The sequence below is a fragment of the Homo sapiens genome, chromosome X, assembly GCF_000001405.40.
Source record: "Homo sapiens chromosome X, GRCh38.p14 Primary Assembly".
NCBI lineage: Eukaryota > Metazoa > Chordata > Mammalia > Primates > Hominidae > Homo > Homo sapiens.
Window position 1 is genome coordinate 102703302 of NC_000023.11, and position 23834 is coordinate 102727135.

Below are 23834 nucleotides of genomic sequence, written 5' to 3' on the forward strand. Positions count from 1 at the left end.
AGATTAGTGTAATAAATGACAACAATGGTATAAAGGATTGGAGGGATGAATTAGAAATACCCTGTTATAAAAGTACTTCTCTCAAGGGAAATTTTTAAATAACCTAAAAAAATTACAAAAATACAACTTATCAAAGTTGTGGGATGTAGCAAAACAGTGCGTAAAAAGAAGTTTATAGCATTTAATGAATATATTAGAAAAGAAGAAAGATCTATAATCAGTAATCTAAGCTTCTATCTTAGGAAACTATACAAAGAAGAGGAAATTAAATTCAAAGCAATCAAAATAAAAGATAAAATCTAGGCATAAATCAATGATACTGAAAATAGGAAATCAATGGAAAAACTCAATGAAAACAAAAGCTGATTCTTTGAAAAGATTAAAAACATTTATAAGTCTCTAGCCAGACTAAGAGAAAAAGAGACAAGGCACAAATTGTTAATATCAGAAATAAAGGAAGGCCTATCACTACTCTCCTGTTGACATTAAAAAGATAATAAAAGAATATTATGAACAACTTTGTCCAAAACTTTGATAGCCTAGCTGGAATGGAACTATTCCTTGAAAAACACAATCTACCAAAACAAACCCAGGGAGAAATAGATAATCTGCCTAAGCCTATAACCATTAAAGAAATTGTATCATATCAAAGACATGGAATCAACCCAAAAGCCCATCAGTGATAGACTGGATAAAGAAAATATGGTACATATACACCATGGAATACTATGCAGCCGTAAAAAGGAATGACATCATGTCCTTTGCAGGGACATGGATGGAGCTGGAAGCCATTATCCTCAGCAAACTAACACAGGAACAGAAAACCAAACACTGCATGTTCTCACTTGTAAGTGGGAGCTGAACAATGAGAACACATCAACACAGGAAGGAGAACAACACACACTGGGGCTTGCTGAAGGGGGTGGAGGGAGGGAGAGCATCAGGATAAATAGCTAATGCATGTCGGGTTTAATACCTAGGTGATGGGTTGATAGGTGCGGCAAACCACCATGGCACAAGTTTACCTATGTAACAAACCTGCACATCCTGCACATTTATCCTGGAACTTAAAATAAAATTTAATTAAAAAAAGAAACGGAATCAATGCATAATACACTTCCAAATGAGAAAGCATCAGGCCCAGATGGGTTCACTGGTGAATTCTACCAAACAGGAAGAAATTATAACAATTCCATACAATCTTTCACAGAAAATAGAACCCAAGGGAATACTTTCTTAAAAAATGCTATGAGGTCAGCATTACCCTAATACCAAGACCAGGTAAAAAAGTTACAAGAAAGTAAAACAGACCAATATCCCTTACACACATAAATGTAAAAATCCTCAACAAATATTAGCCCATCAAATCCAGCAATGTATAAAAAGAATTATATGCCACAACCTAGTAGAATTTATTCCAGGTATGCAAGAATGTTTCAACATTCAAAAATCAATTAGTATAATCCATCACATCAAAAGGCTAAAGAGGAAAAATTATAGTATTACATCAATAGAACAGCAAAGGTATTTGGCAAAATCTAACACCCATTCATGATTTTAAAAAGAGAAACTCTCAGAAAACTAGGGATAGAGGTGTTATGGGCTGAATGTGTATGCCCCACGCCAAATGTGTATATTGAAGTTCCAACACCCAATGTGATGGCATATGGAGGTGGGACCTTTTGCAGTTCATCAGGTTTAGATTAGCTGATGAAGATGGAACTCTCAAAATGGGATCAGTGCCCTCATAAAAAGAGACACCAGAGAGCTTGATCTCTCTCTCTCTCCCCCTACATGCACACACTGAGGAATAACCATGTGAGAACACAATGAGAAGGTGAATGAATGAATGAATAGGAAATCAATGGAAAAACTCAATGAAAACGAAAGCTAGGAAAACAAGCTAGGAAGTGAGACCTCACCAGGAACCAAATCTGCTGGCACCTTGATCTTAGACTTCCTAGCCTTCACAGCTGTGAGAAATGAATGTCTATTATTTAAGCCACTCAGTATATGGCATTTTGTTATAGCAACCTGAACTAAGACATAGAGAACTCTTTATACTTAATAAAGAACATCTACAAAAAATCTACAGCTAACATCATAAGGGTAAGAAACTAGATGCTTCCCTGCAAAGATCAGGAACAATCCAAGGATGTCCCTTCTCACTAATCCTATTCAACATTGTACTGGAAGTCCTAGCTAATGCAGTAAAACAATAAACTCAAATAAAAGATACACAGATGTGGAAGGAAGAAATAAACTTATCTTTGTTCACAAATGACATTATTATTATTATTTTGAGATAAGGTCTAGCTCTGTATTTTTAGTAGAGATGGTGTTTCACCATATTGGCCAGGCTGGTCTCGAACTTCTTGGCCTCAGGTGATCCTCCCACCTCACAAAGTGCTGGGATTACAGGCGTGAGCCACCGCACCCAGCCCACAAATGACATTATTGTCTACATAGAAAATCCTTCAAAATTGCCCTTATATGCTCTCAGCAAACTAGTATTTCACACATGAGAAATAAAAAGAAAAAAGTGCCCCCAAAGACCATTGAACCTCTCATTGTGAAACAGAAGCTCATGAGTTTTAAATAGAGAAGAAGTCAGGAGGGGCCTCTGAACAGTTTGTTCTCCAAGCAGCCGAGCACACCTTCACTAAGGAGAACCACATTCTAGGATTTAGCATTCTTCTTGAATTACTTATCTCAGATCCAAAAGTTCAACTTGCTGAAGGCTTTGATGTGTTTATGCCTAAAACTTCACTGTACTCTATATTGTCAAACTACACTCGCACAGAAAGCCTTTTGTTTAGAAAATGGTGTGTGCATTTTTTATAACGACTTTGGCTAACTCCTTACCCAATAGTAAGAGAAAAAAAGGACTTGATGACAACCAAAAAGGACTAGACCAAAATACTGTGTGTACAATAAAAGTGAGAAGTGTTACAGCATTCCAGAAAGGATGAACATGAAAGCTAGCACAATGAAACCATAAGCATTCAGCAACTAAATTGACAAGAGAAGAAAGAAAGTGTGGGAGCATAATAAGACAATGAGATTAAGGGGTATACTGAGGCTGGACAAGAACGCATATATCCTGTAGATATTGATGACTCATGAAGGATTTTACATGTGAAGGAATAATATGAAATTATTTAGAAATAGATCACTGTAGAGACGTCCAATAGAACTTTCTATCATGATGAAAATATTCTATATTTCTGGTGTCCAGAATTGTCCCACTGCCCACAGTAGCCATCAAGTGACTATCAAACACTTGAATCCAAAAACATATAATAAAATATAAAAATATAGATTATGAACAGTGGGATTTGTCCCAAAATTATGGGTTAGCTTAACATTTGAAAATCAAGGTAACTACCAGAATGAAGAAGAAAACTGATACGATCATTTCAATAGATGCAAAAAATTTTGACAAATTTCAGCACCCATCCATTATGGAAAAAAAGTCAGAAAACTAAGGAGGAAGAAAAAGAAAAGAAGGGAACTTCCTCAATAAATATTGAAAAGGAAGAACACTGTTGGAGGATGTATCTACCTGACTCCAATACTTGCCAAGAAGCTACAAAAATTAAGAATGTTTGGCACTGGCATAAGGGTCAATAAATAGATCAATGGAATAGCCTAGGAATTGGCCCACACTTATAAAATTTTTAGATTTTTCTGCAAAGGAACCAAGCAATCCAACTGGGGAAAGTCTTTTTAACAAATGATGCTTGGACTACTGGATATATATATATGGAAGAAAATGAACCTTGACTCCTGCCTCACACAACACACAAAAAATAAATTCGAGACAGATCATAGATTTAACTATAGAAGTTAAGCCATAAAGTTTATAGAAAAAAAAAAAGAATTTCTTCATGGCTGGGACTGTAGGCAAAGGTTTCTAAGACAGTGTACATAAAATAAACTAGAACTTGGGGGAAAATCAGCAAAGAAAGGCTGAAAAACTATTTCAAATTAAAGTAAACCAAAGAGACACACCACATTCAGTGTGTACACACATATTTGATTCTGGGTCAGGAAAGAAAATGACTCTGAAAGAACTTTTGGAACCAATTGACAGAGTGTGAATAGTTTATAATTTAGATAATAGTGTAGTAATAAATTGTATCAGGCCGGGCACAGTGTCTCACGCCTGTAATCCCAGCACCTTGGGAGGCCGAGACGGGCAGATCACTTAAGGTCAAAAGTTCGAGACCAGCCTGGCCAATATGGTGAAACCCAGTCTCTACTAAATATACACAGATTAGGCAGGCGTAGCGTGCATCTTTATTTCCAGCTACTTGGGAGGCTGAGGCAGGAGAATTGCTTGAACCCAGGAGGCGGAGGTTGCAGTGAGCTGAGATCGTGCCACTGCACTCCAGCCTGGGCTAGAGAGAGGGACTCCATCTCAAAATTAAAATAAAATAAAATAAGTTGTATCAATTGGATAGAGAATACATTTCTTGATTTTGATAATAAAAAAGTAAATTCCAAAGACTCAACAACGACAAAAGACCCAGTAACTAACAAACATTTATGGCAATGTTGCAAAATGGAAGGTTAAGATGTAAAAGTCAATTTTTTCTTATATCCCAGGAATAAAAATTATAATTTGAAATAAAAAATACAGTACCCTTTACATTGGCACCAAAAATGAAATACTTAGGTATAGATATACAAAAATAACTACAAGTTCTCTCTGAGGAAACTACAAAACATTGATGAAAGAAACAAGATCTAAATAAATGGAAAAATATTCCTTTTTTTTTTTATCATAACATAATATCATGAAGATGTCAGTTCATCTGCACTTGATCTATAGACTCAATGCACTCCCAATCAAAATCCCTGCAAGTTATGTTGTGGATATTGGCAAACTGATTATAAAGTTTATGTGGAGAAGCAAAAGACACAGAATAGCCAACACAATATTCAAGAAGAAGGACAAGGTCAGAGGACTGACACTACCCAACTTTAAGACCTACTATAAAGCTTAAGTAAGAGGGTTTGATATTGGTGAAAAACAGACAAGTAGATCAGGGCAACAGAAGACAGAGCCCAGAAGTAGACCCACAGAAATACGGTCAACTAATCTTTGACAAAGGAGCAAAGGTAATTTAATGGGGAAAGGATAGTTGTTTCAACAAATAGTGCTAGATTCACATGCAAAAAAAAATAGACAAAGACCTTACCCCTTTCACAGATACTAACCTAAGTTTAAAAGGCAAAACTATGAAACTTCTAGAAGATAACATAATAGAACATCTAGGTAACTTTGGGTTTGTCAACAACTTTTTAGATACAACAAAAGCATGATCCATGAAAGAACAAATTGATAAGTTGGGTCTCATTAAAGATTATTCTCCTCTACAAAATAAACTGTTAAGAGATTGAAAAAGAGAAGCCACAGAGAAACTATTTGCAAAACAGACATCTGATAAAAGATTGCTATCCAAAATATACATAAGAATTCTTAAACTTAACAATAAGAAAACAATCAACCCATTTTAAAATTGGGTAAATGATGGGAACAGACACTTGGCCAAAAAACATATTCAGATGGCAAATGAGCATATGAATACATACTAAATATCACATGTCTGGGGAATTGCAAATGAAAATGACAGTAGAAAGTCCAAAGTTAAGCTAAAAGGGTTAAAACAGGTCCTTGTCCACAGTGAGTAAGAGGGACAAAAGGAAGTAATGCAAGCTGCTGCACAGGCAAGGGATATACGAGTGTGCAAGTTCACAAGCGTGCATGTGGGAGATGGGGTGGGGTTGGGGACAGAGAGGTGGGTATCATGAGTCAGTACAGCTGCCTCTTTGTCCTGGGCTTAATGCTTGTGAGTTATTTGTTTTGGAAATTTAGATTTTAGGAGCCAGTCAGGGTTACACAGGTGCTGGTGGAGGCACTGAGGAGTAAAACCATGGCTGATGCAATCTATTAGACTGGAACACATTTTAAGAGGAAATAAATAGCTTGTACCAGTCAGACAGGCATAGGTCAGCATCTTCTTTTAACTTTTTATTTACTCTCCACTTTAAAAATGACAAACTATCCGAGCTGGTTTCCTCATCTGGTATAAGGAGGTAGTTATAATACATTCTGGTAATAGTCTATAATGTCTTTACACACAAAGAGGTTAGAACAGGGCCTTTCTCAGTTCAGTAAATGTCTATCATAGTCCCTGTTTTCTAAACGAATTGACATCAAATTGCCCAACACGTTTCAAATTCTCACAGTAAAATTGATCAGCTTTTGGTAGAACCACCCCTCTATAGGTAAATATCTTGAGAGCAAGATCCCAGCGCCTCCAGAATTACCACAGTAACTTGTGCTGGCATAGTTTTCGATACATCTGCAAACTTTCAGAATAGGGAATTGAACAGGAAACCACAGGTGAATGTAAGCACCACAAGAAAGGGGATTCATTTCTCTTTGGTTTATACTGTATGCCCACTGCCTAGGAGAAAGTAGGAGCTCAATATATATTTGTTGAATAAATGAAAGGCATCAGTAACGTTATGAAAGGGGAAGAACAGCTCAGGAAGGCAAAGAGATGTACACGCGCCAACAAATTCCAGCAGACCCAGGCTCTGTTCTCCCAAGCCTGTAATTCATTCATGAGAGTATGCTGTGGAACAGAGAAAATCCACCATTCAGTTAAGGCCATGAAAAAGGCAGAGTTAACGTGGTCTTCCTCTAATACATAACATTCATCTCCAGATGTGGTACAGAATCATCCTCACATGTTTTCTTCATATCAGCAAAATATTGTACAGTTATAGTAAATATCTGGTAACAAAAGCTGTATGGAAATATATGAAAATTCATCATAAGAATAGGGCTCCTGGCCAGGCACGGTGGCTCACGCCTGTAATCCCAGCACTTTGGGAGGCCGAGGCAGGCAGATCACCTGAAGTCAGGAGTTCCAGACAAGCCTGACCAACATAAAGAAACCCCATCTCTACTAAAAATACAAAAAATAAGCCAGGCGTCTTGGGGCATACCTGTAATCCCAGCTACTCAGGAGGCTGAGGCAGGAGAATCACTTGAACCCAGGAGGCGGAGGTTGCAGTGAGCCAAGATGGCACCATTGCACTCCAGCCAGCCTGGGCAACAACACCGATAGTCCCTCTCAAAACCAGCAACAACAACAACAAAAGAATAGGGTTCCCTTTTGTACCTGGGAAATATCAGTGGTTTCAGCAAAAAGGAACTTTCTCCAAGATTACCTATAAGGGACATAAAAAAAATCACTGTCCTTTAGGAAGCAAAGAAGAGGCAATTGATGTTTGTAGTGGTGAGGCATGAGCTCCAAAATAGATCTTCCCCAGAGACTGATCCACGGGTAAAGAAAGTCAAGGGGAATAGACTTCATCAGGATGGTGAGTGTATTAGGTTCATACTGCTGCTTTAACCAATTACCACACATAGAAGGGCTTAAAATAATACAAATTTATTATTATCTTACAGTCCTAGAGGCTGGAAATCTGCAAAGGGTTTCATTACACTAAAATCAAGATGTTGCCAGAGGAGCTATCCCTCTGGCATTTCTAGGGAAGAATCTGTTTCTTTGTCTTTTCCAGGTTCTGGAGACAGCCTGTATTTCTTGGATCTTGGCTTCCTTCCATCTTCAAAGCCAACAATGGCCAGTGTAGACCTTCTCATGATGCTTCAATCTGATATTGAGTCACTGCCTCCCTCTTCCACATTTAAAGTACCCTTGCAATTACATTGGCCAAGATAATCCAGCATAATCTTAAATTAAATTCAGCTGATTAGCAATCTTAATGATCCTTTGCCAGGAAATATAAAATGGTACATGTTCTGGAGAACAGGACATGGACATCTTTAGGGGACCGTTACTTGCCAAACACAATAAGGGTAGCACCTAAATGAGTTTTCAAATGGACAGCAGTAACAACAACATCAACTTCGTATTTAACCACATTGCTCTGTCTGTCCCATGCAGGAAGCAGGGAAAGGAGGGGCTCAAGAGTAGAGGACGGATGTTGGGGTGAAAGAAGAGGATTCAAAAGGAGCCAGGTTGCTTTGTCTCGGGGAGGGGGGTGCACGGTGGGATCCTCTCCTGAGAATGACTGCTGAAACAGCAGGTAGTTGTGGCAGGTGGCTGAGATCCAAGCTGGTTCGAATACCAGCCACATTTCCACACTGCCAAATGTCATGGCAAGAGAAGACTTGACAGGGAACCGAAGAGGAGCCAGGACCATCCCTACCTGGCGGCATCAAAGAGAGAGGACTGTTATGACCTCCTGCGGGTCCTGACAGGGAAAGGTCCTCTTCTGGGGGCAACTGTGGCGACGGCGCAATGCCAACGTGAGCCACCATTTGAAATGAGAAAGAGCAGTGTGGCAGAAAGGAATGAGTTTGGTGCAGACCAGTGGTTGGTTTCCTAGGGTTAGAGGTCTAGGTCTACCTTCTTTTAGAAGAGGGGCAGTGGTGAGTCCTTGATGGGAGCCCCCTGCCCCGGAGTTCACTTAAGAGCAGGTGTACCTTCCTCCCCTGCGTGGCTCCACGAAGCTGGGAAAGAAACGCACAAGAGGACCACCCTAGAGCCCCGGGCCTGTATGGCCTGAAATCGCCTCTCCCCTCCCACACTGCAGTGCTGACACCCCCTTTCCCATCAGCTTCCAGAAAGGAGGGTTAGGGGACTGGGGAGAGGGAGGGGGCAGACACCCAGCAGTCCCTGTGAGGGGGGCGGTTGGGGCGGGGGTGCAGACACATCACGGGGCGGTTTGGTATCCATCCGCTGTTCTCTCCAGCGCGGCTCTTCCCGACCTCGCGATCCTGTCCCCTGCCCGGGCCCCCAGCCGCCCGCTGGTCCCATATATTACAGCAGCGACAGAAATATGGTAGTGGTCGCCACGTTAGGGTCCGTGGGGGCCTCCTGAGGCAGCCTGGTGCCAACCCGCACGCCCAGGCTGGGGCTCATCCTGGCCCTGCCCACCTCGGGGTCGGAACTACGGTGGGCCTGGGATGGGGGCGTCAAGCACTTTCGCGCCGTATCCCTCCGCCCCCCTTCCCGACACCCTCGCGGCGAGCGGTTCTTGCCGCATCCTGCGCAGCCCCTGCCTACTTTGGTGCAGAGGCGTGGGGGGCGGGACGCGTCTTTCCCGTTCGGATCGCGGGGAAAGCAGTGGCTCCAAGTGAGCCAGAGGAGAGCTGAGGAGAGGAGGGGGAGGCCGACGACCTGGGCCCTGGGCCTCTGAAGGCAAGTGCGGGTGCATGAGGTGGGGGTCCGGGTTGCGGGGGTGGTCTGGCAGGGTGGACCAGCAGGCAGCCTGCCCCGCGGACCCTGACAGCCTGGCAACGAGGAGACGATCCGGTCGGAGCCAGGCGCTTGAGAGAGGTGCGCAGTGCCCGAGACCCCTGGCGATGGGGAGGCGGTGACCGGAGCGGGCCTGGCCAAGGGCTGAGGGGCTGGCTCGGGAGGCACCGCCAGATCGTTTGGAGGAGAACCGCGCTGACCGCTTCCCAGCCAGCTTTGCAGGCGCCCGCGCCCCGCCCTCGACGGTGTCTGTGCCCGGAGAGGGCTGTGGGGGAGGCTCCTGCGGGAGAAATGGCGGAGCGGGAGCCGCTGTGGGGGCGCCCGGGAAGGCCGTTGGGGGGCGCCCGGCGAGGCCGGCGGGGGTCGGCGTCCCGGCTCTGTACCCAGTCCGCCGGAGGTGAGCCGCGTTTGCTACTCCGGGTCCCGATTCCCGAAAGGGGCCTGTGGGGCCCCATGTCCTCGGTGCCTTCCCTTCCCACAGGCTCCAGGTTGATGTCAAAGTCTTGTGTCTGTGCGGTAGGTCTGGCGTATTCTGACAGGACACAGTGAGCGTCTGTAGAGGAGAGGCTTGAAATAAAGGAGCACGAATATTGCCTGGATTTCTGGAGGTGTGTGGGGATGGGGGTTGGGCGCTAAACACTGATTGGGGACCCGAATCGGGGTAGGGGACTGTGACCAGAGCAAGTCAGGCATCCAGGAGCACCTCCTAATCTTCACCTCTCTAATGGCGCTCCCCCCACCTTCCATCCCCACCTGTCTCCCCCACCGTCCTAAACTGGGGGCATGAAAGGGTGGGCTTTGGAGGTGGGGGTGATGAGGGAGACATACTGACAAGTACTAATTCACAACCTGTTTTCTAGAATATGCGGCGCCCTTCCCCCATTTTATGCTGCGCAGAGCAAGGGGATGTGGCGCACCTAGTGGTGAATCCTCAGAATTGGAGAAGGGAGTAATGGGAAGAATATGACGTCAAGAGAAGGAGTTGTTATCTCTGGAACCTTGAAGCAGGGCCCAAATAAAACGAGAATATTCCACCAGCAAAACCCCGAATGTTGAAAGACAGATACCAATAATATGGGGACTCTTATCCTTGGCGTTGGCCTGTCTACCAAGTGCTCTTCTGCCACCACTCATATCCTGACTGTCTTACTTTTTCATGTGTTTGTCCATAGGCCTACTTTAAGGCTGGCCAATTCTGCAAGAAAGGCAAGGAGGAGGAGACTGGCTCACAGCTCTGGAGGTTAGTGAGAAGGGGGAGAGGACAATGCAGGGGACAGTTGGAGAGAGCATGGCAGGTGGCAGATCCACTTCCACCTGTAGTAGAAGTGGCAGACCCACTTCTATTCTGCCGGATTTGCACAGTGCCAGCATCCTTTTTATTTCTTGCAGGAGACACGAGATAGGTGTAGGTTGGGTTGTGACTCAGAAAAGACCTGAGAGCAGGGACTAGGACACAGGAAACCATAGATACATTGAACTCTTGAATGGGAAGACAGATATTTGTCACAGGGGCCAGAGTGCCCACCTACCTACCAAGCACTCACACTCCATTCTCTCCTGTATGTTCACTTGTCTGTAGGACCCCCTTCTGTCAGCTGTGGGGCTTGACACCACTTGAACAAGAAAAGGAGGGGGAAACTGCACCACATCAGTGAAGGTTGGTATGAGAGCGGGTATACTTTTGGGCGGGGTAGTGGAGACCAGCATGGGTCCGGGAGTGATTAGGGTCCAATCTGGGGGCTTCTTGGCCCCTCCCATTGCCGACACACTTTCCCACCATTGTTGGACCTGTTTTGTAGGAGGCAGCCGGTCCAGAGAGACTTTCTCAAAGCCCAGCTGTCCCACCTAGCATTCAACATCAGTCGCACTGCATACGTCTCATACAATTGGAAGAGACTCAAAGCCTCATTTCATTCTCTCTCCCTAGATCCACCTCCAGTGGCTGCTCTGCTGGTGGTGGAGTTGCTGCTGACAACCACCCTCAACGGGTCTGCACCCATCCAGGAAATATCTGTCTTCCTTTAGCTTGGTTGTACCTGTTCTCACTCTATCTGTATTATTGAATTATTGACTGAGACTGTGTTTGGGAAGGAGGCTGAGTGACTACTGGACTGGATATTGACTCTAACTCTTATTCCCAAGCTTATATCCTTAATCACCTAAAGATCAGAGTGTGAAGAAACAAACCTGTGACAGATCTGTGGTTGAGGTTTAGACTACGGGAGGAGTATATTACCTGACTTTCTTTGTAACTTGTACCATGACTGGGGCAGAGATTGAGCCTAGTGCCCAGGCCAAGCCTGAAAAGAAGGCTGGGGAAGAGGTTATCGCTGGGCCTGAGAGAGAGAATGATGTCCCTCTGGTGGTCAGACCCAAGGTTAGGACCCAGGCAACTACTGGGGCAAGGCCCAAAACTGAGACCAAGTCTGTGCCTGCGGCAAGGCCCAAAACTGAGGCCCAAGCAATGTCTGGGGCAAGGCCCAAAACTGAGGTCCAAGTAATGGGTGGTGCAAGACCCAAAACGGAGGCTCAAGGAATCACAGGGGCCAGGCCCAAAACCGATGCCAGGGCAGTAGGTGGCGCTCGTTCTAAAACTGATGCCAAGGCAATCCCTGGAGCAAGGCCCAAGGATGAGGCCCAGGCATGGGCCCAGAGTGAATTTGGGACTGAAGCAGTGTCACAGGCAGAAGGAGTGTCCCAGACTAATGCCGTTGCTTGGCCACTGGCCACTGCTGAGTCTGGATCAGTTACTAAATCTAAGGGCCTGTCTATGGATAGAGAACTAGTCAATGTGGATGCTGAAACCTTTCCTGGCACCCAGGGTCAGAAAGGAATCCAGCCCTGGTTTGGACCAGGGGAGGAGACTAATATGGGGTCTTGGTGCTATTCCAGGCCCAGGGCCAGAGAGGAGGCCTCTAATGAGTCTGGGTTCTGGTCAGCAGATGAGACCTCTACAGCGTCTTCTTTCTGGACTGGAGAAGAGACAAGTGTCAGATCATGGCCCAGGGAAGAGTCCAATACCAGGTCCAGGCACAGGGCTAAACATCAGACTAATCCCAGGTCCAGGCCCAGATCCAAGCAAGAAGCCTATGTTGATTCCTGGTCTGGATCTGAGGATGAGGCCAGCAACCCATTCTCCTTCTGGGTTGGAGAAAATACCAATAACTTGTTCAGGCCCAGAGTCAGGGAGGAGGCAAATATCAGGTCCAAGCTCAGGACAAATAGAGAAGATTGTTTTGAATCTGAGTCTGAAGATGAGTTCTATAAGCAGTCCTGGGTTTTGCCTGGAGAAGAGGCCAATAGTAGATTCAGGCACAGAGACAAAGAAGATCCTAATACTGCCTTGAAACTCAGGGCCCAGAAAGATGTTGACAGTGATAGGGTCAAACAAGAACCCAGGTTTGAGGAGGAAGTCATTATTGGGTCCTGGTTCTGGGCAGAAAAAGAGGCCAGTTTGGAGGGTGGAGCTTCAGCAATCTGTGAATCTGAGCCAGGAACTGAGGAGGGGGCCATTGGCGGATCCGCGTACTGGGCTGAGGAAAAGTCCAGTTTGGGGGCTGTGGCCAGAGAAGAGGCCAAGCCGGAGTCTGAAGAAGAGGCCATATTTGGGTCCTGGTTCTGGGACAGAGATGAGGCCTGCTTTGACCTAAATCCCTGTCCTGTGTACAAGGTCAGTGATAGGTTCAGAGATGCAGCTGAGGAGCTTAATGCATCCTCCAGGCCCCAAACCTGGGACGAGGTCACTGTTGAATTCAAACCTGGTCTTTTTCATGGGGTTGGCTTCCGATCCACAAGCCCCTTTGGAATTCCCGAAGAGGCTTCTGAAATGCTTGAGGCAAAGCCCAAGAACCTGGAACTTAGCCCAGAAGGAGAAGAGCAGGAATCTTTGCTTCAGCCTGATCAGCCTAGTCCTGAGTTCACATTTCAGTATGATCCTTCCTACCGGTCAGTCCGGGAAATTCGAGAGCATCTTAGGGCCAGGGAGAGTGCAGAGTCTGAGAGTTGGTCCTGCAGCTGCATACAATGTGAGCTGAAAATTGGTTCTGAAGAGTTTGAAGAATTCCTTTTATTAATGGACAAAATTCGGGATCCTTTTATTCATGAAATATCTAAAATTGCAATGGGTATGAGAAGTGCTTCTCAATTTACCCGAGATTTCATTCGAGATTCAGGTGTTGTCTCACTTATTGAAACCTTGCTTAATTATCCATCCTCTAGAGTTAGGACAAGTTTTTTGGAAAATATGATTCACATGGCTCCACCTTATCCAAATCTAAACATGATTGAGACATTCATATGTCAAGTGTGTGAGGAAACCCTTGCACATAGTGTGGATTCCCTTGAGCAGCTGACTGGAATAAGGATGCTTAGACACCTCACTATGACTATTGACTATCACACACTGATTGCCAACTATATGTCCGGGTTTCTCTCCTTATTAACCACAGCCAATGCGAGAACGAAGTTTCACGTTCTGAAAATGCTATTGAATTTGTCTGAAAATCCTGCTGTGGCAAAAAAACTATTCAGTGCCAAAGCTCTTTCAATATTTGTGGGTCTCTTTAACATAGAAGAGACAAATGATAATATTCAAATTGTTATTAAAATGTTTCAGAATATCAGTAACATTATAAAAAGTGGAAAGATGTCCTTAATTGATGATGATTTCAGTCTTGAGCCGCTTATTTCTGCATTTCGTGAATTTGAGGAGTTAGCTAAGCAACTACAAGCCCAAATAGACAACCAAAATGATCCTGAGGTGGGACAACAAAGTTAATATGATTAACCACCTGCCGCTGATCAGCCTTATGTTCCCAAAGAGCCCTGAGTAGTGCTTTGGTGTTCACAGTCTGTTTTTTTGTTGTAACTTATATTTTTTAATGCTGATGTTAACTTTGTCAAACTCTTGTTTTGAGCTGGATCATTTTGTGGATGCCAAATGAATATCAAAACTGAAAACACATTTGTTGATATTTGTCTTGCTGTCCAGATTGCGGTATTTTTCAGTATTAAGTTTTCAATGAACTGTGTCACCTAAGTAAGCTACCCTGCTATTCGTTGTTTAAATATATGGTTCTCTATTTGAGTCTGTGTTTTCAATAAAGTTCTATGTTAAAATTGGCATAAGTGACCCTTCTTCAGTTTAAGAACCATGTACAGATAAATCGTGTGCACTTACAAACATAGGTAATTATTAGTATGACAAACATGCGCTTATTAGAAAATTCTGTTCTTGAGTTAAGAAGGGAGAGATTATTGTGGGCCCTGATACTTGAGGAATGTTTCCGAGAAGAGGGACCCACTTAAATTGGTCAGGATAGAACAAATTGGTCAGGATAGGAGAGCAAGACAACTTGCCCGCCTGCTTGCCCAATTATGAGCCTTCCCAACAAGCAACCTAAAATTAATACTTCTTATAGGACCCATTTAAATTACCATCTTAGCCCTGGGATTTGCCTAAGGGTAGGATAAGACAAATCATTAGGTTGCTCTTGGAAGTGGGCAGTGGTGGTTTGAAGAAAAGTGTGTAATTGAATAATCTGTTCTAGTAGCATGGATGAACCCAGTCTGCTTGAAACAAGTAAAAGGAGTTTGATGAGAAATGCAGTTAGAAAGTTGGGAAGAGGCCAATTTGGGGAACAGAATAAGCCAAATCTGCATATTTAACAATTCAAAGTACAGGTGTTACTTCAATGCCACCTAAAGGCTGAAAGAGTAGGATAGCACAATTAAATGGAGTGGGGAATATGATTTCCTTTATATTCCTAGACAAAGGAAAGTGTTAAGGAAATACCATGCAGCCGTTGGAATGATTATGTATGGATAGGTTTATTGACACAAAAGGACATTAATTATTTTATATTTGGTGAAACAGAGAATGTGACATCATGTATGGAAAATTAGATTCCATTTTTAAAACATCTGTAAATGTACACAATTCCTATGCAATTTCAATATGAATTTCTAAACACAGTCTGGAATAAAATATATACCTTGTTAAAAAATGCTTAGAGACAGGCGTTGGGGAGATACAAACATTAATAAGACAAATTAAAAAATTAATATGCTTACATTTTGTGCCTTGAGTTATAGATGAGCATGCCGGAAAGGACAGAATTATATAAATGAATAAACTATAAGTGTTAAAAAATGATTAGAGATAATATCATTTAGAAAAGTTGTAAATGAATGAGCTATCAGAAAGACTAGCTTTTTATAAAACGTTTTCAAGATAAAAATTAAAATTGGCCAGGCACAGTGGCTCACACCTGTAATCCCAGCCCTTTGGGAGGCCGAAGCGGAAGGATTGCTTGAGCTCAAGAGTTCAAGGCCAGCCTGGGCAACATATTGATGCCTTGTCTCTACTAAAAATAAAAAAAATTAGCCCAGCATGGTGGCACGCACTTGTCCTAGCTACTCAGGAGGCTGAGGTAGGAGAATCACTTGAGCCTAGGAAGTTGAGGCTGCAGTCAGTCATAGTCACACCACTGCACTCCAGCATGGGTGATGTGAGTGAGACCTTGTCTCAAAAAAAATAAAATAAAATAAAATAATCAAGGGTGGGCCAGGCGCGGTGGCTCACGCTTGTAATCCCAGCACTTTGGGAGGCTGAGGTGGGTGGATCACTTGAGGTCAGGAGTTCGAGACCAGCCTGGCCAACATAGCGAAATGCTGTCTCTAGTAAAAATACAAAAACTTAGCCAGGCATGGTGGTGTGCGCCTGTAATCCCAGCTACTGGGGAGGCTGAGGCAGGAGAGTCGCTTGAGCCTGGGGGGCAGAAGTTGCAGTCAGCTGAGGTCGCACCACTGCACTACAGCCTGGGTGACAGAGCAGAACTCCGTCTCAAAAAAAAAAAAAATTACCAAGGGTGTTAAGTTTAATATTAGTCTGTTCATGGTACAAAAATGGCACCTTTTTCACATAATTATTACCGTAAAAAACATAACATTTCCTTTTGAGGTGACAACAAAGTTCTGGAGCTAGATAGTGGTGATGGTTGTACAACATTGATAATGTACTGGGTTGTATACTTTAAAATGGTTAAAATGTTAAATTTTATGTTATGTGTATTTTGCCACGATAATTTAAAAAATGACCACACAATACCTTCAGTCAGGAGAATTGGAAGACAGGGCTATATGTTGGTTTGGAGAGGAAATTCAGACGTACGAGAAATATCCAATGTTTTATTATTTTTAGACATAACATTTATTTGTCTGAGAATGTTCTAAATTTTCAAAGGTAAAATTACAATTCATGTAAATGTAAAAAGAATATGTGAAAGATTTTTCAACACAATCAACAACTGCTAGGATTAAGAAAACAGTTGAAGGGTATATGTGTATATACAATATACACAATATGAAGATATAAACAAAACATTGAATTTCATAAACACATAGGAAATTAATAAATGTTAGAATAACACTGCCAGGTTAAATATAAAACGGGTTAATATCTTACAGGGCAATAAATTGTAACATTTAAGGTTTTCTATTGCACTGGACATAAATCATTTACATATTTATTGAATAAAATATCTACATGTTAACATCAGTGTCTACAGAGTTGAAAAATAGGTAAATCAATAGACATCCTGCACTGCCCTGAAATGACATCCAGTAACTGAAGGTGACTTTATCTAAGTTTGGTATAATTTTTCTGACAGTGCAACATGCTTTTTTTCCCCACCTGATCCTAGTTTGGTAAGGTAATATGGAAGTGGCAGTTTTGCCTCCCATCGCAAGCCATAAGTTTTAACAGGGATTATCCTGGTGGTGCAAATTGGAGTTTGAATGTTTGTTTTGCTTACCAGCATTTTTCAAGACAGATCTGTGTGTGTTTTAGTATGTCGCTTGAGTCGTATACAAAATATTAAAAATCACTTCATTTCCCAAATCCTCATCGAATGTTCCTCGCCAGCCGAGTGGTCCTCCAGAGCAAAGGCCAGCCTTCCTTCCAGCTGTCTGGCCAAGGAGCTTCAGGATCTTCTAGCAAGCACCCCAGAGGCAGAAGACTGTCATCCATGGTACAGGACTGCGGCGAACAAGCTGACTGCGCAGTCACGTGGGGCTGACGGTGGGTCATGTGACCAGGCTCTGCATTAGGCCTGCCGAGAGGAGTGTTTTCTTGCATCCAGAAAAGACCTGAGAGGCGGACGACACCTGTGCTCCGCAGAGCAGAACGTGGGAGGAACGGCGGGATGTTAAGGTAGGTAGGTGTCTTTCCATGCTGCATCAGCCTGAAAACTAATTTCTCAGGCGACTGGAACTACAGCATTTGTTGGTAAAGGAAACAATCCGTCAGCCAACCGGGAGCGTCTTAGCCCGTCTGTCTTTTGTCCAGGAGCTCAAGAAGCAGAGAGTCTACCTGCCCGACGCGTTCGTGGAGAGGAGCAGCGGTTGCTGTTGGAGGAGGTGGGTGCAAGGACGGCAGATGGCATCCCTGAGAGGTGGTGACTGAGACTAGATGCGGGTGCAGGTAATGCCTCAGATCCGCCTGCTCCCTCCTGCCTTTTGAACACCCTTGACCCCTCATCCCAAGGCTCCCAGCCCAGTGCCCTGTGTTTGTATGTGTGGGTGGGGGAGGTGGGCATATGGATGGAGTTGGCTTCAGGGGAGCCCAGAGCGGGGAAATGGTGAAGTGACAATTCGTGAACACCTGTGGTGCTGGATCAGGAAAGGCAGGGGTGGGGATGGGAACCGTGAGCTATGCGTCCGCACTCATTCTACTCTCTGTCTTCTTACTGGCAGTATTCAGGCAGTGGGGATGGCTGATACCAGCTCAAAACTGGCGGAGGGTGGAGGAGGGCAGAAGAGAACACATACATCTGCCTTTTGCTCCAAGGCTCCAGCTGGCTGGGGATGCAAGAGAGGAATGAACCTCAATCCCGGCAGTTCTAGGAAAAGGAGGAGGAGACATAGACTCGAGGGGAGGAAACCTAGATGCTGTGGGCCCTTCACCTAGGATTTCTCATTAGGATACTCCAAGCTTCTCGACCCCCAAGGGGATTCCTGGATCTCAGCCCCATGCAGCAGGATCTCATTCCCATTGAGGGACACAAAGTGGGTTGCTACTCCGTGTGAGCTCTCTCTCCCTGCTGTCTTGGGCCTCAGAGGAGGGTCTTTCTGGGGACCACCTACAGAAACTGCTTCATGGATAGTCTCCTAAGTTTCCCTCTGCATACCCTTTGCTCTCTTGTGTTGTGATCTCTGCTCATTCCTTAGGATGTGTTTCTTTGGTCCCATCCTAGGTAGCAGCCCCATGGTAAGTCCTTGTCCTCTTTCACATCGAGTATCCTCCTTTCCCCCTACCCCATGCACCCACTGGGTACCAAGTGAAAGAAAATGGTTCCTCTACCCACAATACTTCTGGCACAGAATGTGTGGATTTTTCACACCAAGCAATTCTCTTATTCTTTGAGGACATCAGCTAGGTATTCTACAATTTAATTCAATTCTGATACTACCCAGAGTTAGTGCAGACCTCTCTGGTTAAGGGCTCATTCCCATAAGACTGCCCTCCCTCACTTCAGACAACAGTCACAAGTAATGGATCTCCATGTCACCCACACTTCTGTCTGACTTAGCTACTAGTTGGAAGTTCCCACAACCCCCTCCTCAGGTTCAATAATTTGCTATAAGGGCCCACAGAACTCAGGGAAACACTACTTCCTATTACTGGTTCATTATAAAGGATATAAATCAAAAGCCAGATGAAGAGGTACATATGGCAAGGTCCAGAAGGGTCCCAAATGCAGAAGCTGCCATCCATGTGGATTTGGGGTACACCACCTTCCCAGAATATGAATGAGTTCACCAACCTGGAACCTCTCAGACATTTGGGATTTTTATAGAGGTTTCATTACATAGGCGTGATTGATGAAATCATTGACCATTGGTGATTAGCTCAATCTTCAGCCCCTCTCTTCTCCTTGGAGGTCAAGGGGTGAGGCTGAAAGTTCCAACCCTCTAATCATGCCTTGGTCTTTCTGGTGACCATCCATATCTTGAAGCTATCTAGTGCACCCACCAGTCATCTCGGAACATAAAAAAAGACACCTATCACTCCAGAGATTCCAAGGGTCTTAGTGTCAAGAACTTGAGACTAAAGCCACATGTAACAAAAGATGCTTCCGTTATCCCTATCAGGAAATAGCAAGGGTTCTAGGAGCTCTATGCCAGGAATATGGGACAAAGAATTATGGTTACCAAAGGCTGGAAAGGGTATTGGGGATGGGGTATAAAAAGGAGTTGGTTAATGGGTACAACAATACAGTTAGAAGGAATATGATCTAGTGTTCAGTAGCACAATAGGGTGCCTATAGTTAACAATAGTTATTATATATTTCAGTATAATTAGAAGAATAGATTTGGAATGTCCTCAGTGCAACAAAATGATAAATATTTAAGGTGATGTATATCTCAATTACATTACACATTCTATGCTTATATCAAAATATAATTTATACCCCATAAATATGTACAAATATTGCATATCCATGTGAATTAAAAATTTTAAAAAATTTTAAAAATAACTCATTTCAAATTTCAATCAAAATAAAAAAGATCAAATGCTGATTTCTTCATATATCACAATACATACAAAGTCAGTGTAAGAAAGTGTTGCTAGGAAGAAATGACTTTTTCTAATCCCACTCCTATCCTTATGTTTATACCAAGTTTATAGAGTTGAAACTATGTTGTTCTACTACTTTAAGCCCTCCTATTTAGACTTAAAAGCTAGGATAGATACAAGGTATGTGGGGCAAAATCATAGGTAGAGATTAGTCCCTAGGACTGCATCCTCGTCTCCTACCCTCTCCTATTATTTTCTTCTCTTTACTCTCCAGAATTCTGATAATATAAGTACTGGGGCCAGCATTCAGCTTATGGTTTTCTACTCAAGCTGTCTTGTCTCTTGTCTCTGTGTGTTTTTTCGAGTATGTCAACAGAGAAGACTTCAAGTATGGTGTGGTATAATAGAGAATATAGCTGATCTTTATCCCTAGTTGCTGACACAGCTTCAAAAAATCTTGGAATTTCCTGTGTGACAGGAGTATCTTTGTTATGCTAATGAAGTGACTTATGGTGGGCCCCTAGATAGCTTCAGGATGGGGACTGGTCACCAGAAGGACCAACCATGTGATTAAAGGGTTGGAACTTTGGGCCAGCTCAACCTTCAGGGAAGGTAGTGGGGCTAGGTATTAAGTTCAATCACAACCAATGGTTTAATCAATCTTGCCTATGTAATAAAACCCCAGTGAAAACTTTGAACTTCAGGGATAAGTGGAGCTTCTTGGTTGGTGAACATATTGTTCTCTAGGGAGAGTGGTGTACCCTGACTCCATAAGGAGAGGGTATGGAAGCTTTGTGTCCAGAATGCTTTCAGACCTTGTCCTGTGTATATCCTTAAATGAAACTGTAATAATAAGAATAGCACTTTTCTTGAGTTCTACGAGTTGTTTCAGTTAATTATGAAACCTCATAATGTCATAGGAACTCCTGAATTTATAAGTGGTCAGTCAGAAGCATGGGTGGCTTCCTGAGAATTGGGGCTGGTATCTGATCTAAAGTGGGGGCAGTATTGTTGGTGATTGTGCCCTTAAACCTGTGGAGTCCAATGCTAACTCCAAGTAGTTGGTTTCAAATATTTGATATCAGAACAATAGTGTAATTTTCCCTAGTTTTAGCAGCCACACCTAGATTAATATACATAAAGCTTACCTTTGCTGTGTATTCTACATCAACAAGTTAAAATGAAGGATTCAGACCCAACAGTGTATTATGGGTGAAAAAAGCAGTCTGTTTTTGTGGCATGTACCTGTAATTTAGATAATTTTTAAAATTATCTATGTATCTATTTATCTATATCTATCTATGTGTCTATCTATCTAATCTATCTATCCATCTATCCTGTCATCATTTTTTTTCTTATCACAGCTCCCTTAGCCTAGAATTCCTGTTGTGGGTATTGCATTTATATTTAGAAAACTTCAAATTGTGGCCTGATTAAATACTTCTAAGTCCCAAATGTACTCCAAAGCAGATACTTAAACAGTTTATGCCTGTAGAATTTTTTAATCTCAGCCGAAGAGCAGGGTGACTGGTGTGTGTGTGTGTGTGTGTGTGTGTGTGTGTGTGTATCCAAGCAAAATGATGATTGCCTTTGTTCTGACTTGTAGCGGGTAGAATCCTTCCTCAATTATTTTTCTGGGGTGTAGTTGAAATAAAAACTTCATCATTCACTCAGTCCTCTTGTTCCTTCTCCCTTTTTTGATAAATATTATGGGCTACTTTATATAATAGAGGCTACTTCAGATGTCACTTGGCCTAAAATGTTGTTGTGTGGGGATAGTATCAGAGTGAATTTTTCATCTGTCTAGTCTGGACTTTTAGCAGCCACTAATTCTCAACTCTGCCCCCAATTTCAAAAGAGCAACCTTCAATGGGATCTCATCTATAAAATACCACCAGATTTTCTATCAAGGCTTTCACAACCTTGCACCCTTTAATACAAGTCTGCCTTTCTATCTCCATCTCTCATAACATTCTTCCAAGTCAAGGCCAGGACTAGAATGAAATGAAGAAAGAAGCTCTTGTTCTCAAGTGCCTCACACTATTCCAGGCCTTGCCCCACTTTGCCTGCAGTCAAGCCCCACTGGAAAATCTGTTGTTTTCCCAACTGTATTGTGTGCTTTACTACTTTTATGCCTTTCCCACATGCTGTCCCTTCAATCTTCAATGTTCTTACCCTTTTTCTGTCTATGGGAAACATCATTTGGGCTCAGTTCAAATGCCAGGGCCTTTTTGAAGTCTGATACCTCCTCGCCCTTATCCCTTGCCCCTTGGTAGGAAGTAATTCCTCCATTCTTTGTACTTACACAATATTTTATTTGCCACTTGGCCACTTGTTTCTTTTTTTTTTTTTTTTTGAGACGGAGTCTCACTTCGTCACCCAGGCTGGAGTGCAGTGGCACGATCTCAGCTCACTGCAACTTCTGTCTCCCAAGTTCAAGCGATCCTCCTGCCTCAGCCCCGCTAGTAGCTGGGATTACAGGCACACACCACTGATTTTTGCACCATTAATTTATGCCCGGCTAATTTTTGTATTTTTAGTGGAGACAGGGTTTTGCCATGTTGGCCAGGCTGCTCTTGAACTCCTGACCTCAGGTGATCCACCCGCCTCGGCCACCCAAAGTGCTGGGATTACAGGCGTGAGCCACTGCGCCCATCCCACTTGTTTCTTTATACCATGCATCAGAGTCTTTTTATTTTTTTATTTTTATTTTTTAATGAATAACATAGAACTAGTGTTGAGGGACAGGAAGCATAGAGAAAGAAGCTTGGACTCTGGAAGTGTGATTCAAACCCCAGTCTGTCTGACTGCAAAGCCTGAATGTTTACTACTTAAAATAGTAATTTGTGTTAATATTAAGATTTATTGGATTTATTGGGTGATTTCTATGTGCCAGGGTACTCTACTAAGGGCTCTAAATGTATTCACTTAGTTAATCCTCAAAACAAACTTATGAGGTAGGTGCTGCTATTGTTTCCATTCTACATATGAGGAAGCTGAGGCACACATTGGTTAAGTAGCTTAGCCAACCTCACTGAGTTGGTTAGCAGAGGAGGTGACATTCCCACCTTTGTGGTTTGAATCTGGAGCTGATGTGCATTACTTCTATGCTATGTCTATATTCCTCCAGTGCTAGTTATCAATAAAAGCATCCATGATCATTGTAACTGTTTTTACAATCAGATCTTCTGTTCCTCAAAGCTTGTAGCAAAGTATTTATCATAAAGAAATTAAACCTGAATATTGTTAGACCTCCTGTCCCTTATCCTTTTTTCCCTGTTTATCAGCCTATTCCACCCTTTCCTTCCTTCCCAACCCAATGCCCATCACAGTACTTATTTTTACTACTCTTCTACCTCATCCTCTAGTGCCTGGCTCCACTGTCCTGGAGAAACCCCAACTCTGGATAAATCTCAAGTATCTACGACTTTCTATACCTTTGTTGTTTAGTGCACCTGGGAAAATTAATCATATTGTTCTAACTGTCGACACTGTAAATGTGTCTTTCTCAATATCAGCACAGTCCCCTGAACTGAAAGCAGGTAACCTTTGATATCTTTATAATCTGGATATTTCACAAGGGTGCACCTTCACACAATGATCCTCTGAATTGAAACTAGGTTTATCTATTATCTTAAGTATTTAATGTACCTCTGGACCTCCTAGATAAGTCAGAGTTTGGCTTCTGCCTAAAGCTTTACTTTTTAATCTGGAGCAGAAGCCAAACAGTTGTCAGACCTCTAGCAATCATTAGGACACGTGTTGAGAATTTCTGGCTTTTCTTTCCTGGGAAACATGAGTTCTGCTACTGCAGATGTAGGTGCTCACTGATGCTCACTGATGGACACAAGTCAGGAATTCTTACTCACTGAAGAGCTGTTTTGTGCCTGAGCACATCTAGGATTGTTCCATTTTCATATAACAAGGAATTCAACTAAAACTAACTT

General features: G+C 43.0%; 3 protein-coding genes and 1 pseudogene across 19 annotated transcripts in view, besides 1 other annotated feature; all 4 read left to right on the forward strand.

Moving 5' to 3' along the window:
- The window catches only part of ARMCX5-GPRASP2 (ARMCX5-GPRASP2 readthrough), a 308717-nt gene that overhangs the window by 103954 nt on the left and 180929 nt on the right, over positions 1-23834 (forward strand). For 2 of the 8 annotated variants that reach the window (NR_146587.2, NM_001350269.2), the window contains exons 1-5: positions 9147-9251; positions 10481-10548; positions 10888-10965; positions 17233-17520; positions 17656-17726. Coding sequence is in view for 1 of the 8 variants with exons in the window: in NM_001199818.1 (NP_001186747.1) it covers positions 11569-14085 (2517 nt within the window). In the remaining 7 variants the exon portion in view is untranslated. Of the gene's footprint in view, positions 1-9146; positions 9252-9538; positions 9706-9828; positions 9917-10480; positions 10549-10887; positions 10966-11235; positions 14433-17232; positions 17525-17655; positions 17791-18062; positions 21561-23834 lie in introns of those variants that run through there. The other 6 variants (NR_146586.2, NR_146585.2, NM_001350270.1 and 3 more) reach the window with 6 other exon arrangements.
- Positions 2477-3065, forward strand: BEND7P1 (BEN domain containing 7 pseudogene 1; annotated as a pseudogene).
- GPRASP2 (G protein-coupled receptor associated sorting protein 2) lies at positions 9147-14432 on the forward strand. Of its 5 annotated transcripts, none has more exons than NM_001184876.3 (5): positions 9147-9251; positions 9790-9916; positions 10481-10548; positions 10888-10965; positions 11236-14432. In NM_001184876.3, exon 5 carries the CDS (start codon positions 11569-11571, stop codon positions 14083-14085), a length of 2517 nt encoding a protein of 838 aa, NP_001171805.1. In that variant the 5' UTR covers positions 9147-9251; positions 9790-9916; positions 10481-10548; positions 10888-10965; positions 11236-11568; the 3' UTR covers positions 14086-14432. The 5 variants fall into 5 exon arrangements, with proteins under 5 accessions (NP_001171805.1, NP_001171803.1, NP_001004051.1 ...); NM_001184874.3 differs by having other exon boundaries at positions 9829-9916; positions 11108-14432; NM_001004051.4 differs by having other exon boundaries at positions 9829-9916.
- Positions 17249-17308: an enhancer, noted in NCBI's record as "active region_29815". NCBI's record gives its function as "activates an Ori minimal core promoter by ATAC-STARR-seq in GM12878 lymphoblastoid cells {active_cell/tissue: GM12878}" and the evidence as "EXISTENCE:reporter gene assay evidence [ECO:0000049][PMID:35858748]".
- The window catches only part of GPRASP3 (G protein-coupled receptor associated sorting protein family member 3), a 32798-nt gene continuing 26405 nt past the window's right edge, over positions 17442-23834 (forward strand). For 2 of the 6 annotated variants that reach the window (NM_001142524.2, NM_001142527.2), the window contains exons 1-2: positions 17442-17524; positions 17656-17790. The gene's annotated coding sequence lies outside the window, so the exon portion shown is untranslated. The remainder of the gene's footprint in view (positions 17525-17655; positions 17791-23834) is intronic. The other 4 variants (NM_001142525.2, NM_030639.3, NM_001142526.2 and 1 more) reach the window with 2 other exon arrangements.